The 19,060-nt window shown below is 39.8% G+C and overlaps 1 long non-coding RNA gene across 2 annotated transcripts in view; it reads right to left on the bottom strand.

The window, feature by feature from the left end:
- LINC01483 (long intergenic non-protein coding RNA 1483) overlaps positions 1 to 3,264 on the bottom strand; it is a 309,014-nt gene extending 305,750 nt beyond the window's left edge. For both annotated transcript variants that reach the window (NR_109971.1, NR_109972.1), the window contains exons 1-2: positions 3,186 to 3,264; positions 2,311 to 2,464 (exon numbers count right to left, since the gene is read on the bottom strand). This is a non-coding gene — a long non-coding RNA (long intergenic non-protein coding RNA 1483). The remainder of the gene's footprint in view (positions 1 to 2,310; positions 2,465 to 3,185) is intronic.
- Between the last annotated feature and the right edge of the window lie 15,796 nt (positions 3,265 to 19,060).

Raw genomic sequence — 19,060 nt, 5'->3', positions numbered from 1 at the left:
CTTTTTAGAGAAATGTGCTATTTGTTGAAATAGTAACTTTTCTAATTAGACCAGGTGGGCAGGTGCATTTTCAAGATGGTCAGGTACATCTAGTTCTGAAAGACTTAATCTCTAGAGATTTCAGGTCGTCCCAGAAATGTCAGTGGCAATCCAACTGAAGAAACAGCTGAAGTCATAGGAGGGTTCTGCTCTGAATAGCAGGAACCAGCTTGGATGTCCACCATTCTTAAAATCTCATGATAGTTATACCTGTTCAGAGGTAAGAATGACACATTTACTTTTGACATTTCCCTTCTCAATTTGTCTTCTGCCTCAGTTTCTTTTCCTTGCAATAAACAAGGATACTACAAAGAAGTTCTAAAGTAGAGATATTACTTTTCATTTTCTTTCTTTTTATGTTATTTTTGTTTTGTAGAGACAAACTCAGGATGGTCTTAAACTCATGGACTCAAGCAATCTGCCCACCTTGGCTTCCCAATGTGCTGGGATTACAGACATAAGCCATCACACCCAGCAGATTTTTCTTGATAATTGATAGCAAAAGGTCTTGGGCCTGATCCTTAAAAACTATGTAGTGGCATTGACTGAAGGCCATAGAAATATTAAGGAAATGGCTTTTGGCATGAAATGTTATTGGTGTTTTGGTCTACAACTAAAGAGACATTGATAATTTGAAGAAACGAAATTAGCATACTGATCATGGCTTTTTAGTTACCAGCCACAGGGTCTTTTTAAAAGAGTATGGACACAATACTGATGCAGAAGTTTTTCTCGACCCCTCCCGTTGGACTTGCAACAGAGGTGCCCTGTTTATTTGGCTCACTGCACTCAACCTATTGTGGGAGGGAGTACATGAGTGAGTGAGTGTTCCAGACAGCCGCTTTGGGTGCTGGCAGGAGCATGCTCCATGCAGGCCCCGTGGCAATGCCAGGGTGGGGGTGCTTGTGACCCGTGAAGCCCCAGAGGGCATGTTACAATCCTCTCTTAGCTCTGCCGTCCATGGACGGCAGCGTGTTATCAGCTCAGTAGATTCCTTGACTCGTTGTGTAGGGCAGCTGCCCTCCACCAGTGAAAACAAAGAGCCAGTGTGACAGCCTTTTTTGGGTACCCGCATTCAGTGGGTCCCAAGCTCCTGTCTGGCATCCAAGAAGAATTAGGTTGCACGGACACTTGAAGGTTGGTGGAGGTAGAGAATTTTATGTAGCAATAGAAATGGCTCTCAGCAGAGAGGGATGATTGAGAGGGGACAGGAAGGGAAGATAATCTTCCCTGATGTCTGGCTGGCTCTGGCTGGCTCTTCTCCAAAGTTAAACTGTCTCTCCTCCAAAGTCCAGCCATCCCCCTGAAGTCAAGTCACCTCTCTCCAGTCAAGCCACTTCTCTCCTCTACTGACTGAGTCTGGGGTCTTTACAGGCACAAGATGGGGATCCTGGCAGGCCATAGGTAGTTTTGGAAAAGGCAATATTTGATTGTTAGAAAGACATTATTCAGAAAGAACCAGTTGAGAGAGAGTGAGCAAATAGGGATAGAAATTCTCATTTTTGGGCCACGGGTTTCAGGATTTTTGACTTGAAGGTGGGATTTTGCCAGGGACCCACCCCTGTCTGCCTAGAATTTCTCTGCCTCATGCCTCTATCAATACAATTCTTATTAAAATGTATAAATGGTTCTATCAATATAATTCTTTTTAAAATGTATAAATGGTACAGATAGGCAAGAGTGTAAAGGACAAGCAAGCCAGCTCTGAGCCACACTGCCTGGGTCTCAGTCCTGGCTGAGAGACACTAGGACTTACTAGCTGTGAGACACTAGGAGAGCTACTTACCCTCTCTGTGCATAACTTTCCAGAGTATTAAATGAGATGCTACCCAGGAAGCACCTTGCACAATGCCTGGAATGGCAAACACTTAATAAATGTCATCTTTACTAATCCTATGATGTTTAACAAAGATAACATCTGCTTTGGAAGAGATGCTTTTAGAGAGACAGGATCATCGAAACTCTTTCTTCTTTTTGTTTTGTTCCCATTTACATCATTTCCCTTAAAATAGTGTCAGTTCTGAGGTATTTAAATTTTTATTCAGCTAAAAAAAAAAAGTTCGACATTGTAGATATGGCATGGTTGGTCATACTCATGTGTTTAAAAATAAAAGATCAACAACAACAACAAAAAAATCCTTTTTGATGGTGTCCACTGGAAATCTTGACACTTTGATTCATCTTTTGACCATCTTCCTGTTTCAGTAAGATTCTCATGAGACTCTTGGAAGAATATAGTCGAACACACTCGAGAGTGAACTGTGCACTTACTTGTGTTGTAAGGATGTTGTTTATATTTTAGATCCTGTTTTCTTCCTGGATGAAGTGCCGCTGTTACCAGGTGCTTCTCCCACTGTTATCGTCTCCTCCTCAGGACTCAGACTGCTGGAAGCAGCTTCCTGCAGCCTCTTTGTGAAACTGGCCACTAAAGAATAGGAGAGAGCCTGTCAAAGGTTATCTCCCACCTGGGTTGCAGTTTCCATGAATATCAAGGTTCATCAGAATCTGGTGCAGCAATTTATAAGATGTGTCACAGGGCACATAGAAGAGACAGAGTTCTTGCTGAAGGAGAGCTCAGAAGGGAGAAAAAAGATAATGACGGTGGGCAAATGAGATGCTCAAGGGAATTCCTGCAGTCAGATGCTGTAGACACCAGTTAAAATACAATGCCTAACCCTTCTGGGGAAAATAATGAATGCATGACACCCTGTACAATTAATTCTAAATTGCTTTGCACATATCTGATGGTCATGTTGCTCCCAAGAACAACTTTGGTTCAGCTACACAAATAGAATGAACACCTACCTCAAAGAAAAAATGTTGTTACCTTCTTAGATAATTCACCTCCAAAACTGAGACAAAATGGACCAATTTTACTCTAAGGATTAAGAGGCAATTCATGAGCTAATCAGAAAGCAAGGATGCTTAATTATGCATTTAAACCTCCTGATTCAGCTATGCCATGCCACAGAGCCAAAAGGAAGACCGATCTCTGTCCAAGTCTACTTCCCAGACTGGGAAGATTAGCAGGAGAGCAGAGGCTCACAGGGGTACAGAAACTGACAATATGGAAGCTCCACTGAAGTCCTGTTAGATACTTCAATATCGGCCAAGAAGTAAGCATCATGCCTGTAGAATCCACTTACTTAAGGAAATGAATTACTAAGGTTGCATCCTCTGAGTTAGCAGTTATTGATGGTAACAGCAAAGACTTGACTTAGGAATGGGGAAAATATCACTGGTTACACTTCCTTTAAGCCAATCTCAGCTATTTCCTCTTCACTACTCATGACTTCCTTCCAGGCACAGACAGCCTCAAGTAACATTCCTATAATTCCCAAACCAGCCCATCCTACCCCAAACCAGTTCACTGATCTCAAGGGCAAATCATAAATGGTAGTCATAACAGCAAAACGCAAAGCATCAACAGGAATTTTCCCTTTGTTGACAAATTAGGGGAAAAAATGGAACCAAAGAAGGTGATGTTGAATAAGAGAATATCATTATCATTTCTTAGAAGTACTATTGTGATCAGTTTTTATAGATTTCAGAAAATAGAGATTTGGAAAATACATAGAACTGCTTTTATTCTGAATTAGTTGTTCTGGAGTCAGGTAAAAATCTTTCCTGAATCCCTAAGACAATCACTTTCCACCACTTGGATAACACTAAGAAGGTTTTAGACCACAAGGGAATTTGGAACACTTCCCACTAAGCGAGAACTAGAATATGTCTAGGGAAAGCCATGTTTCGGATAAAGAGATTTCAGTCTCAAAAGCAAGTGAGAAAAAATTGATTAAATTTTTAAAAATCAAGTGAGCCTCACTACTCAGAAAATATTAATCAAAAAAGAAAAAAAAATCATGGTTTTTGCTCACACTGGCTATAATACTGAAGCTATACTCCAACATATGCCTAATACATTGTCTAATCCAGTGTTTAACATTCCATATTTAGTGGTTTAGTCATTTGAGTTAGGACCTGCATTCAAAAAAATATTTATTGAATGCCTAACATTTCCATGCACTATACTAGGCAACAGCTATGCAGAGATGTTTGAAACACAGCGTTTGACCCTGAGTATTTCAAGTTACTACCTAATGAATCATTGTTAAAAGTAAAAATTGTCCTAGAACATTTTGAGCATCAAAATAAACAACGATAGTTATAGATTATAGACCACAAAATAAAATTAAAAATCCGTGGGATGAAAGAAATAAAGAGAGAGAGAAGAAAAAAATGGAGGGAGGGAGGAAGGAAGGAAGGAAGGAAGGAAAGATGTGAGGGAGGGAGAAAGAGAAGAAAGGAAAGAAAGAGAGAAAAGAGAAAGAGGGAGAAAGAAAGAGAGAGAAAGAAAGAAAGAAGGAAAGAGAAAGAAAAAAGAGAAAGAAAGAAAGAAAAAAGAAAGAAAGAAAGGAAAGAAAGAAAGAAAAGAAAAAAGAAAGAAGGGAGGAAGGAAGATCCTTGCTAAGAATAGATTTCACACTAGTAAATATGGAACAATAAAGGAATTTCACTATATTGGCCAGGCTGGTCTCAAACTCCTGACCTTGTGATCCACCTGCCTCGGCCTCCCAAAGTGCTGGGATTACAGGTGTGAGCCACCAAAGCGAATTTTAAAATTCCTTTATTCAGCTGGGCACAGTGGCTCATGCCTGTAATCCCAGCACTTTGGGAGGCTGAGGTGGGTGGATCATGAGGTCAGGAGTTCAAGACCAGCCTGGCCAATATAGTGAAACCCTGTCTCTACTAAAAATAAAAAATTAGCCAAGTGTGGTAGCAGGTGCCTGTAATCCCAGCTACTGGGGAGGCTGAGGCAGGAGAATCTCTTGAACCCGGGAGGCGGAGGTTGCAGTGAGCCAAGATCACGCCACTGCACTCCAGCCTGGGTGACAGAGCAAGACTTTGTCTCAAAAAAAAGAAAAATCGCTTTGGGCAACCACCATAATAGTAATTGTTATAGAGATGAACTATCAGTGGATGCTAAAACTACTGGTGGAAGTTTGATTTAAAATATGATACTTACATAAACTCAAAGCATTTTCCCACAAGATACGTATTAAGGACAAAGGGAAAAACAATTTTACAGTGGAGAAACCTTATCATCTTAACCAAAGGGATCAAAATTACCACCAATAATGAGAAAAATAGACATCATGTGCGCCCCATTAGATTGCACTAAGAAAGACAAAACATCACATCTGAGTATTGCCAAAAATGCTTAACATAAATCAAATCACGAGAAAAGTTCACAAACCTACACTGAAATGTGGTATACAAAATAAATGTCCTGTATTTATCAAAAGTATCAAGGTCATGAACAATAAAGAAACACCAAATAATTGTTTTACAATGAAAGAGAATAAAAAGACATAACAATCAAATATAATATGTGATCACGGACAGGATGCCAAATGAGAATTATTTTTTTTTTTTGCAGTAAAAGACATTATGGACAAATGATAAAATTCGATAAGATCTATCAACCAGATGAAGCCTCACAAGTGTTTCCTCTAGAAGATCAGATGGTAAATGTTTTCAGAGACTGCAGGCCATGTAGTCTCTACCACAACTATTTAACAATACCATTGTAGGCAGAAAGCAGCCAAGGATGGTCCATAAACAAATGGGCATGGCTATGTTCCAATAAACCTTTATTTACAAACATAACTGGGAAGGCACATTTGCCAACTGCTGGACTAAATTAATACTAGATCAATATTAATTTCCTAATTTGCTTATTGTACTGCAGTTATGTGAAAGAACATTTATTTTTAGGAAACATGTACTTAAGCATTTTGGGATAAAAGACATCATATTTGCAACTTACTCCCAAAAATTTCAGAGAAAGAAAAAGAAGACAAGTAATAAACAAGCTGAAATTTGAATATTTGGGGAAACTGGTGAAGGATATATGGAAACTCTCAGTACTATTTTTGCAAATTGTCTTTAAGTCTGAGATAATTTCAAAAACAAAGAGTTAAAAGCCAAACATGGTGGTACGTGACTCCTCTAGTCCCAGCTACTCAGGAGGCTGAGGTGGGAGGAGCCTAGGAGTTCAAGACCAGCCTGGGCAGCATAGGGAGACCCTCTCTCTTAAAAACAAATCAATTTAAAGTTGAGAAAATGAATTATGGGAGGAAGCCCAAGTGGAATAATGCCATGTAGATACAGAAGATGACTTGAGAGGTAGGAGTGTAATAGACAGTCAGCAGCAAGACATAAAAGTTGCAGTTGACAGAGATAATGGGGATAAAATTTCCTCTAGGGCTGCCTTTTAAAGACCAACTTAAATAAAACTGATTCCCATTTTCTTACAGGCCATAACTTTCAATGATGCCCCAAAGGCACAATTCACATAAATGTTCCGCCCACTATGCATTGTGTGCAAAATGCATAACTCTGAAGGGAAATTGCATCTACATTTTCTCCTCCTCAACTCCCACATTGTTGGGGTTGTCTGAGCATTTCAAATGCCACAGAAATACTTTGCAGAGCACAAAGAGCTGCCAAACACTGCAACCAAAGTTTGTCCAGACATATGCATAAGTAACTGGGATGTGAATTATGAGACTGTGGAAATAAAATCTTTACCTCTCAGACAGTTTCTAAGGCAATGCCTTAGAAATGATAAGAACAAGAGGCAGGAGGGTGGGGGTCCCCAGCAAAGGCCCTACCCTCAAGCCTAGATACCTGAGGCCCTAAATGGGAACAGGCATTCCAGTTTTTGCACCCAAAAGTTGCCTTTTGTCCTGCCACACTCCCCTATCCTTTGCCCATATAAAACACAAATCCCCAGCTCTAGGAGGAGAGAAGCAGACAAAGAGAAGAGCAGAAGAGTAGTAGAGAAGGGGAGAAGAGAAGGAATGTCGGGAGGAGTTTGGCTGGGGACGGTTGGAGAATCAGCCACTGGACAGCCAAACCCCAGGGAAAGATCATCTTCCCACTCCATCCCCTTCCCAGCTCCCCATCCACCCCCTAAGAAAGACCTCCACCACTCAATAAAACCCCTGCATTCACCATCCTTCAAATCCGTCTGTGACCCAATTTTTCTGGGATGCTGGACAAGAGCTCAGAATACAGAAAGCTGTCACTCTGGCCCTCCATCCTTGCAAAAAGGCAGAGGGTCCACTGAACTGGTTAATACTTAAGCTTCACATGGACGGCAAGGTTAAAAGAGCTCACTATAACACACACCTGCTTGGGCTCCTGCCCCTATCTGTCTGTGTGCTCCCCCTCCCATAAGGGGTTTGAGCAGTGGCAGCTACCGAACAGATGAGCCACACCCCTGTCACATGTCCTGCAAGGGGGGTCAGGGAACTCTCCCATTTCAGAACTATGATAAAAATTTGGACAGTCATCCTGATATTATACAAATTTGAAAAATTAACCTTCCCTCTGGTAAGGTAACAAGAGAAACCCAAAATATGGGGGGAGGGGTGCTCTACACCGCAAAGGTTCAATTCTTGCTCATGCTAAGTCCAGTGCAGAATTTTTTACAGGAAAATTCTCTCCAGGACTTCTCCATCTCATGTTGCCACCATTTCCCCATCTCAGCTCCCAAGGCCTCTGCAGCACAGGAGGAAAGAACCCAAGAGTCATGGAGGGATTTGGGGGGCAGAAATCAAAGGAGCAGACATCACTTCTGCTCACAACCCGTTTGCCAAAACGGGTCCACAGCTCGAACTTAATCGCAAGCAAGGCTGAGAAAGGAAGGCAAGGAAGCCCTGATATTTTGTGAGCACTAAATATCTCTGCCACCAAATCTCTTCTGGTTTTTGTTTAGTAAAAACCCATAAACTTTTATCAAGATTGTCATTTAATAGAGAATGGAATTGGATACATACCAAGACTCCCCCATACACATGTACTGTGTTTAATAGGACAAACTGACTGACATGTGATCAATAGGATCTTAAACTACTGTAACAATCCATCCTTTCCCCTACCCCCAACTTCAAGTCATGAAATAGAAACCAATTGAAAAGTATTTCCTTGGCATTTAGTCTCAAATGATCCTTAGCCACACGACTAAGTTTTAGGGCACTCAGGTCTCTGTTCTAAACCTAAGGTAAACCCTATAAATGTCACAATGCATTTTGGCACTAAATCTCCAGGCTTTGAGAAGGTTCATGTGACATTTTCTTTGTGACAGAAATGATTGCAAGAGTTGATTTTGTTGGTTGGCTTCTTGTTTCAATTGCAACAGAGGTCTCAAAAACCACCCGGCAACAAGTAAACAGAATACTGCTGTCCCCGTAATAATACTGCAAGAGAAAAACATCTCAGGGAGAAAGAAGTCAGTAAATTTCTGACATTCCAAGGTGTGAAAGGAAGCAATCTGACGTCTGAAAGCCGGAAAAAAAACAGTTCCTTGGCCCATGCTGTTCATACACACCAAGGTCACCTAGAAAGTTATCAGAACTCAAAAATAAATAAAATTCAAAGTCTATTTTAAATGATCTCCTGTATCCAAAAGCTGCAGACAAGCACGTGAAGATTTCAACATTTTAGCTCTCTTGTTTGAAAGTCCTCATTAATACTATATTATGCTGAGGGGTTATTGAACTCAGGTAAACACTAGAATTACAGAATGATTTCCTAACAAACACATTGCTCACTATATATAATGAAGACCATAAGAGAAAAATCCTGGGAATGTTGTTAACTCAAAGGTGCAAAAATGAGGAAATGTCATTACTGAAGAATAATTAGATTAACTGAAAAGACAACTCTTAATAGAACTAATATCATACGAAAGCAAAGGAAGTAAAGCAAGCTTTGTCTTGAAAGTCAAATGGTCTCCTTTTATATATGTTCATTTCTATGGGAAAGGGTGGTTTTAAGCTGCCAAATCAGTATAAATAAAAGTCCCACTTATGGCCGGGCACAGTGGCTCACGCCTGTAATCCCAGCACTTTGGCAGGCCAAGGCAGGCAGATCATGTGGTCAGGAGTTCAAGACCAGCCTGGCCAATGTGGTGAAACCCCGTCTCTACTAAAAATACAAAACTTAGGGCCCGGTGTGGTCACACATGCCTGTAATCCAAGGGACTCGGGAGGCTCAGGCATGAGAATTGCTTGAACCCGGGAGGCAGAGGTTGCAGTGAGCCGAGATTGTGCCAGTGCACTCCAGCCCGGGCAACAGAGCGAGACTGTCTCAAAAAAAAATAAAAAGTCCCACTTACATTAAAATTTGAAGAGTCCCAGTGCAGGTGCTCACGTGCACACATGCACACACATACACACACAAACTGTATATTAACTGGAATATATTTTTAATATATATTTAGTGTGGCAGATGGTAAAGATTATTGTATGAAACAACCAAAGAGGAGAGATACTAGAAAAAAATAGAAAAAAATCAGAAACACTAATAGCATGAAATGATGGAGAGTGTCCTAGCATATCTTCTCTGTACCTTGTTTTTGTCATTTGTTATTTCTGTAATCTGAGAAAAATCATACTTTATTTCTCCAAGCCCCTGGTTGATCTTCTGCAACATGGGAATGGTAGCATGGATTCTGGACGATACATGGAAGGATGAAATAACAAAATATGTGTATATGACTGGAGTTGATCAAGCACTTTCTCGCTTTTCTTACCTCAAGGATATCACTAATATGATTGTGACTGAAAAATTTCTAACCACTCACAGGTGTGTTAAACAATAGATTGAAACCAAGTAACAACTAAGTAATATACAAATAATTAAATGAAGAGTCATTGGCTGGCAAAGATATAAAGAAAGTGTAAGAAAAACAAGATGCTAGGAAGGTTGTATTGTGTTTAATAGGACAAATTGATCTACATGTAACCAACAGGATCTTAAAGTACTGTAACAATCCATCTTTTCCCCTGCCCCCAACTTCAAGTCAGGAAATAGGAACCAATTGAAAAGTATTTCCTTGGCATTTGGTCTCAAATGATCCTTAGAAAATCTACAAATGTGGACATCTATAGGCTCATGATTCTGAAAAGTTATTTGACTCAAAATTTTGGCTCTTGCTTTCCTCATATATAAAGTGATAGGCCAGGCACAGTGGCTCACGCCTGTAATCCCAGCACTTTGGGAGGCCGAGGCGGGTGGATCACGAGGCCAGGAGTTTGAGACCAGCCTGGCCAACGTGGTGAAACCCCGTCTCTACTAAAAAGTACAAAACTTAGTCAGGTGTGGCGGCGTGTGCCTGTAATCCCAGCTACTCAGGAGGCTGAGGCAGGAGAATTGCTTGAACCCGGGAGGCGGAGGTTGCAGTGAGCCGAGATCGTGCCACTTCACTCCAGCTTGGGTGACAGAGCAAGACTCCGTCTCAGAAAATAAAATAAAATAAAATAAAATGTGATAATGATTATCGTAAAAATAAGGCATTATAGAGAGAGAGCCCCTAGCACAGTGCCTACCAGAAGAATTGCCCTTCACTTCATCCTTTCCCTCACTTCATATATTCAGTTTCTGTGACCTGTAACTTCAACACATACCACACCACCCATTTCTTCTCATCTTTACTCTTGTCACTTTAGTCTCTCCTCCTTTCAACTTATTATTCATGTAGTGTATTAGTCAGGGTTCTCCAGAGAAACAGAGCAAACAGCATGTGTGTGAGAGAAAGAGATTTACTTTAAGAAATTGGCTCATGTGATTGTGGAGGCTGGCAAGGTGAAAACCTGTAGGGTAAGGTAGCAACCTTGAGATCCAGGGAAGCTGATGTTTCAGCTCAGGTCCAAAGACAGTCTGCAGGAAGAATTTCTTCTTCCAGAGGAGACACCAGCCTTTTTTCTCTTAAGGCTTTCTAGTGATTGGATGAGGCTCACCTGCATTTTCAAGAGTAATCTGCATTTCTCAAAGGGTTTTTTTTAAAGAATAACTTCTATTTTAGATTCAGGAGGTACATGGGCAGGTTTGTTACCTGGGTATACTGCATGAGGCTGAGATTTGAGATATGAATGATCTCGTCACCCAGGTAGTGAGCATAGTAACCAACAGTTAGTTTTTCCACCCTTGTTCCTTTCCTTTCCTCCCCACTCTAGTAGTTTCCAGGGTCTATTGTTGCCATCTTTATGTCCATAATTACCCAGTGTTTAGCTCTTACTTGTAAGTGAGGACATGCAGTATTTGGTTTTCTGTTCCTGCATTAATTTACTTAGGATAATGGCCTCCAGCTCCATCCATGTTGCTGCAAAGAACATGATTTTGTTCTTTTCTATGGCTGCATAGTATTACATGATATATATGCCCCATTTTTTATATCTACCACATTCTCATTTTCCAGTCCACCATGGATGGGCACCTAGGTTGAGTCCATGCCTTTGCTATTGTGAATAGTGCTGTGATTAACATAACAGTGCATGTGTCTTTTTGGTAGAACAATTTATTTTCTTTTGGATATATAGCCAGGAATGGGATGGCTGGGTCAAATGGTAATTCTGTTTTAAGCTCTTTGAGAAATCTTCAAACAGCTTTCCGCAGTGGCTGAGCCAATTTACATTCCCGCCAACAGTGTATAAGCATTCTCTCTTCTTCACAGCCTACCAGCATCTGTTGTTTTTTAGCGTTTTTAATAATAGCGATTCTGACTGGTGTGAGATGGTATTTCACTGTGGTTTTGATTTGCATTTTTCTAATGATTAGTGATGTTGAGCATTTTTTCATATATTTGTTGGCCGCTTGTATGTCTTCTTTTGAGAACTGTCTGTTCGTGTCCTCAAAGTGTATTGATTTACACAGAATCTCATCTAAAAAATATCTTCACAGCAACATCTAGACTAGTATTTGACTGAGCACCTGGCTACCATGGTGTAGCCAGGTTGACACATAAAATTAACCATCATACATACAACCACCAAACTCATTATTTCCTCTGGGCCTTAGAGCCGCTGTTCCCTCTGTTTGGAAAACTCTTCCTTACATGCTTCATCACTCTCACATGCTTCATCACTCAGATCCCAGCACAAATGTCACCTCTACAGAAAGACCTTCCCTGCCCAACCTATGTATTGCATTTTCCCTACCACCTTCCTCACCACAACATGATCTCTTACGTCTCCCAATTTTATTTTATTTATATTATTTATATGCTTATTACTACCTACAGTCATCTCATTTCTGCATTCTCCCATTTGTTATGTTTCCCCATTGGCTACAGGATAATTAGCTCTGTATGTGCAAGGATCTTATCTGCTTCCCACTCTATCTTCAGTATATAGAACCCTGTCTGACACATAGTAGGCACTCACTAAGTATTTGATGAATGAATCAATCAACCAATCAATCCTAAGTACTCAAATACTATTTGATTATTATTTTTATTAATAAATAATTTATATAGCTTATTATCCCTATTATTATTATTTGTACTCTGGGCTTTAAAAATCATACCCATCCTGCCAGATGTGGTGGCTCACACCTGTAATCCCAGCACTTTGGGAGGCCGAGGCAGGCGGATCACCTGAGGTCAGGAGTTCAAGACCAGCCTGGCCAACATGACGAAACCCCGTCTCTACTAAAAATACAAAATTAGCCAGGCGTGGTGGCACATGCCTGTAATCCCAGCTGCTCGGGAGGCTGAGGCAAGAGAATCACTTGAACCCGGGAGGTGGAGGTTGCGGTGAGCCAAGATCGGGCCATTGCACAACAAGAGCGAAACTCCATCTAAAAAAAAAGCATTCCCATCCCATATCTGGATTACATTTTAATGACAGATGCTGAATTTATCCTCAATCCCACTATAGTGATGATTTCAAATAAGTTTGTGAAATTTAAATTTTATTATATGAGAAGCAGGAGATAGATTATTAAGAAAATTGAAATAAGAGTTATAAAGCTTAATATTTCATACATTAGCTCATCTGATTATGGATATAAAGAATAGAGCCCTAAAATAGACTGTGCCTACACACACAAAATGACTTAGAAATGATTCAATAATTCTGTATAATTCAGGCTGAAATAACCAAGATTTTAGATATTCAGGTAAGTAAAGTAACAGTGAGCTCCTATTTCTTGGATTAGCTTGTTGGCTGGTTGTATTTCCTCCATTACTTTGTGCATGCAGACCTAACTGAGGAGTGTTTCAAAATTTACACTTGGCAGAGAAAAGGAGCTTCCCTGAAAATTTACTTTCTTTGCAAAGGATGAAAGTTATGGCTTCATTATTTTTGGAGAGAATGAAAAGATGTAGGTAGATGTTGGACGGTGAAACCAAGTAAATCTCTTACTGAGGCATCTTTTCATATTTCATTCTATCTATACGATATAAAACTAAAGTTTTTGATGTGCTAATGAATATGGTGGTTGTTGCAGAAACAGATCTTTTTTTAATGACTGAGGCTAGATTTTGTTAACATAAAGGTGTATGTAGAAATAATAAAGTCCCAAGGAGGTCTCTTCTACAGGGAAGAAGCCCTTCTTTCCCAAGAATCTCCTGGATGCCTCAGCTTCGTCTTTTCTCTCTGTTTTACCTGAAACCTTCACACGAGCATCTACATTTAATCTTTTTGGTTTTTCATCTTTGAGGAGAGTTGCATTTTGCCATGAGGCTAATTATTCTTTCAAAAAATGTATAACTTGATGAAAATACAGGAACAGAAATTACCTACTTTCTTTTTCCAAAAAAAAAAAAACAAAAACAATATGCTAAAGCAGGAAAGAGATAGGCACTGCCTTGATACCCATAGGACATCCTGAGAACCACTTCCCTGTAGAGCATTTATTAGTATTAACTGAAAGCAAGACAGTAAAAGAGACCTTCTCATCCCTGTTGTTCTCTTCTTTAGAGGAACTAAATCAGTATCCAGTTCATTTTGAAGATAAGAGGGAGAAAGGAAACTAACACCCTGCCCCTCCTTTATGACAAGCCTAGTCCTGAGCTCTAGACCCCTAAGCCTACTAGTTATTAAACAACACTGTGAAATATGGATTATTATCCCGATACACAGACCTGGGCAACTGATTTGTCCTCTTGGAGTCTCAGCCAATGTGAGACAGAAGTGAGGCTTAAGTTAGTCTGTCCAGCTCCAAAGCCTGCCTAGAAGCAAGCCTCATATCCAGTGACAGAAAATGCCATCCAACACAAAAAGCAGAAACCATAAAGGAAAAGATGAATATGCCTAGCCACTTAAAAACAAAGGAAAAAAACATTGTATGGCAGCAAAAATGCAAGTGACAAACTGGGAAGATATTTGCATATATAAGAGAAAAATAATTAATACCCAATAGGAAAGTGATTCTTATCAATCAATTAGTAAAAGATAACCTCACAGGAAAAAACAATGGGAAAGGATTAAACAATTCATGAGAGACAGATTTAAATAGCTCACAAATATACACAAAGATACTCAAGTTACCCAATAACAAATAGGACAGCCAAAGTAACAAAGATTGAGAAGCAGGCAAACAAAACCCTCTGTTGGCAAGAGTTTGAGAAAATGGAAATTTATATACACCTTTGTAGAAACTGTAAATTGGTACTGTCTTCCTGGAGAAATGGGTGTCTGTAGTTGATAATAATATACTGTGTACTTGAAAAACTGCTAAGGATGTAGATGTTAAATGTTCTCACAACAAAAGTAAGTATATTGTGGTAATGGAGATGTTAACTAGCTTCATTTAACCACTTCACGACGTATGCATATATCAAAACGTCGCATACCATAAATATATATAATTTTCATTCATCAGCTATAACTTAATTTTAATTTAATTGTGTATGCCTTGAGTCAGTAATTACACATTTAGAATTTAATCTGAATGATAATGATAGAAAAGTTCACTCATAAATGTAGGAGGAAATTAGTGGCACTAATATTGATAATACCTCTCCAAAAATAATATCAATAGGCAAGTGGTTGAATTATAATAGCCCAAAAATGAATTCCGATATTGAAAAAGATACTGCATGCTCATATATTTTTCTATTTTTATATATTTCTATTTCATTTGAATATATATAGATACATATATATTCATTTCAGAATCAGAAAAAACAAACTATAATTTTCGAGATCTTTAATATACCTAGCACTTTACAAAATTTGCAAAGCAATTTCTCATATTTTATTTCATAGTAAAAACTAAGTTTTCTGTCCAATGATGTTATAGTGTGATATGATTTCATGCTGAAAGCAATACTTTCTCGTTTTGCCTGTGAATTTCTTTTAATTATTTCAAATATTTAAAAGTAGGCAGGCTGCCCAGGTGTTTGGGTTCAGCAACCATGATCAAAAGGAGAGGGAAAATGTGGTTTTCTTTTATTGCATTTCCCTTGAGCATCTTCAAGACCCTTTGAAAGAACAGCTGCCTAGCCCAGGCAACCTCTCTTCTTAGCCTACACGGAAGAAATGAAATTCACTCCCAAAGTGCGGGTGTTTTCAGGACCCAGTGAACTGGAACTTGCAGCGTCTTCTGCAAGCTCCGTTGGGCCGGCCTTTCATGTGAGCAGGAAGGAAATGACTGACAACTTTCTCGTCTTTATGGAAGGCGGACTTTATTTCCAGCTCTCAGGTCAAAAGGCGGCGGAAAGAAAACAAAACCACTAAGAGATAAAGGCTAAAAATAATGTCCTGTGGGGTGAATCAACCCAGTTTGGGACCCTGAAGACAGCAACAAGGCAAGGATGTGCGTAGGGCTAAATCTGCGTCATCCTTCACAGGTGGTCGTGACCAGAATCAAAATGCCTGGGCAAGAGAGGAAGAAGTTCTGCAAACAGGTGTGCTGGAGGGAAGGCGTGGGGAGGGGAGAGGAAGAAGCCATTGAGTCGATCCTGGGCTTGAAGCCCACACACTTTCCCAGCAGTTCACCTCCGGGAGAGCCCAGGGACTGGACATGGCCTCGGAAGGAGCTAAAAGTTGATTTGGGGTTTTGTGGTTTGGGTGAATGCACTTTCAGTTTAAAATATAAATAGATGTGTTTATGCAGTTGGGCTTTCTTTCTCTTTGCTTTTAATTGTCACTTTAGAAGAAATAAGTCTATGATTCACAGGCTAATGCCAAAAAAAAAAAAAAAAGGAGTTCTCATTGGGTGATTTCCTACTTTATAGGAAGCAATGGGAGAATGGGTTTAAAAGTCACACGAAAGACATCCGCTAAGGACTTTGATGATGAGTATAAGAATGATTCATTTTATTTATATAGCACTTTAATTGTGTTTTTAGTCACATTCTAATTTGGACACACAACTATTCCAGGAGATAGATAAGGTGATTATTATTCATCGTATTTTACAAGTTAGAAAACAGAGGTCAGATAAGTTAAAGATTGCACGTTCCCTTATAGACTGAGCTATAATACACACACACACACACACACACACACACACACACACACACGAGGCAGAATCATTATCATTATTTCCCTAACTGCACCACTGGGCAAACCTCCAAAGGGGAAAACTGGTATTAGATGCTGCTAAGGAGAATAGCGCAAAAAAAAAAATACTGAGTACAAGAAGTATGAGAAGGATTCTAGCCTACATGGATTTAAAAACAAACTAAATCCCAACGGGATTTGAGCAGTGCTACCTTACAAGGTCTTTCCAACTGGCTGCTAAATATTTCCACCAGAATGTGCCACTAGTCCTAGATACCACGTCTATATGTACTAAACAAGACTGATCATCTTTCTTTATCCTTCTCCTTCCTTCCATTTCTATGTTAATGATGTCACTGTTTTCCCAGACTCCCAGACTCCAATGAGTTCTCCAATGTATCCACCTTCCCTGCCTTCTAAATTCAATCAGTCCTCTTGCTTCAACCACTGAAATGACTCTTACATGTTTTCTCTCTTATATCCTAATACGATCTAGGATTCCTCCTACCTAGACAAATGCAATAATTTGTTCTCGCTTCCCACTGCCTCCAGGTCTAATACAGCAGCTCCAGTTCATCTCAGGATCTATTCCAGCCAATCTTTCCTTAAATGTGACCTGATTATAACACTCTGCTGCTCAACACTCTCCACTTGCCATAGAATAAAGTCTAAATTTGTTGGCCATGACATTTGACATTTGAGATCATTCATACAATGGTCTCCAATTGTACATTTACAAAGATCCCCAATTTAAATAACACTGTAAGACCACTTTCCCCAAATATTTCCTCTTACCTCAATATCTGCCTGCTCAAGGTTACTTTACCCTAAATATGCCTTCTTACCTCAATATCTGCCTACTCAAATTCCTACATCTCCCTTCTTTGTCTTCAGAAATACTCACATCCTTCAAGGTCCAGTTCAGATGTCCTCTACTTGACGGAGCGCTTTCCAGTTCTCTGAGTCATTAGACACCCCATTCTTTCCTTCTGCTCCCACTAGACTTGGCATCTCCCTTGCACCATCTATCACATTTGGCCTCTTAATAAAATTGTTTTGTTTGTTTCCTAATAAATTGCAACCTCTTTCAAGGGAAATCATATTCTATACTTTACATCCTGGAAAGTGCTTGACATAACCCTTTGCTCATAGAAAATACCTAATATATATCAGTTGTAATAAATTAGAAAGACTAACCAAAGCTTGTAGCATAACTTCCACGTTATTAAAGCATGCAATAATAACTCCAAGCTACTTGCAATTCCCCAGACATTTATAGTGAAAGCAATAGCTATTATTTACTGAGCATTTATTATATGCTAAGGATATCCTATGCATCTTCTAGCTCACAACAACCCTGTGAAATTTGTCATGTTCAAATTTTACATACAAGGAAACAGAGGATTAATAACCCCTACAAAGCTACACAGATGGGAGGCAAAGGACAGAGAATCAAGGTTACCTAATTCCAGAATGTGCTCCTCACCGCCATGCTATTGCCACAACTAATGTCACGGATGTGTTTCCACAGGTATCCTGGACAGTATAACCAGTTTCCCTAAAGAGGTAATACTTTTTCACCAAGGCATACACATCCTCTTGCCCAGCCTCCCCTTGAAAACAGCTGGATAAAGTCATGATGGGTATAAACCATGGCTCAACACCAAGCTGTGAGCTAAAAGAAGGAAGAGAATCTAGAGCCCAAGAGTAGAACGGGGGTCACCAAAGCAAGGCCAAGACAGGAGCAGACCCAGTAGCTGATAGGAATTGAATCCAATGACAGTGAAGCTGGAAACCTGACTTGGAACAGACAGGAGCAGACATATGGACAAGTGCAAGGTCTGAAGAGGCCAGCAGTAGACAGGAACAAAACAAAAAGCTGACCTGCAAGGGGTCCAGAACACAGACATGAAGAATGGGCAAGGAGTCAAATTCAAGCAACCCCAAGGCCACAGCTCCAGATGTGCTGATGTTTCTGGGAAGGCAGACACAATCTCAAAAATTATCTGACTTGGGATTTTTAGGTACAGTTAAATGGAAAGTCCTGCCTAGAGAAGAGAATGGTGTTTGGGGGGAAAGTAATTCAGAAACTTCCGATAATTTATTTTTATGTCCCCAAAAGGGCATGGCACAATTGAAAGTGCACAGTAAACACTCCATAAACATTTGTCAATTACCTAATAGAGACGGAAGTTTGTTTATTTGTTTTTCTCTTGTAAACACAAAGTAAATCATACCCAGTCAAGTGCCCCTTGCTTAAACTAGCACAATAAATCCAAAGTACCCTAAAGAGGCCATTCTTTTGCAGAGTGCAGAGTTGAGTCCTGCGGGAGAAAACTGCTCTATTTCCTAAGCCTGAGTAACTGGAAATGCCATACATCGCTGCCAGGGAATAAGCAAAGATCCCCTGCCTACTTAAGAGCAGTACAAGCATTCTCCAAGATGTTATGATTTCAAGCAGCATTTGGGAAGCTAGCTTGAATCAAAACTAGACTCTTCCAGAAAGACCCATTCCATAACAACACTTCAAAAACTCATCTTTCCCAGATAAGAAAATTCACTATACATCATCATCAAATTTCCCAAAAAATCCAAGTTATCTCTGTTATAAAGGTCAAAATTCAAGGCCAATCATTCACTCCAAACAGAACTTTTTCAGAGGTCTGAAATTCCCAGATGAGTTAGACCAGACAAGATAAACTCTGCCCTTAGAGATTGCA

This window comes from Homo sapiens, chromosome 17 (genome assembly GCF_000001405.40).
Source record: "Homo sapiens chromosome 17, GRCh38.p14 Primary Assembly".
Classification (NCBI taxonomy): Eukaryota; Metazoa; Chordata; class Mammalia; order Primates; family Hominidae; genus Homo; species Homo sapiens.
Note: the sequence above shows the minus strand (reverse complement) of the source record. Positions and strands in the feature narration are given on the sequence as shown.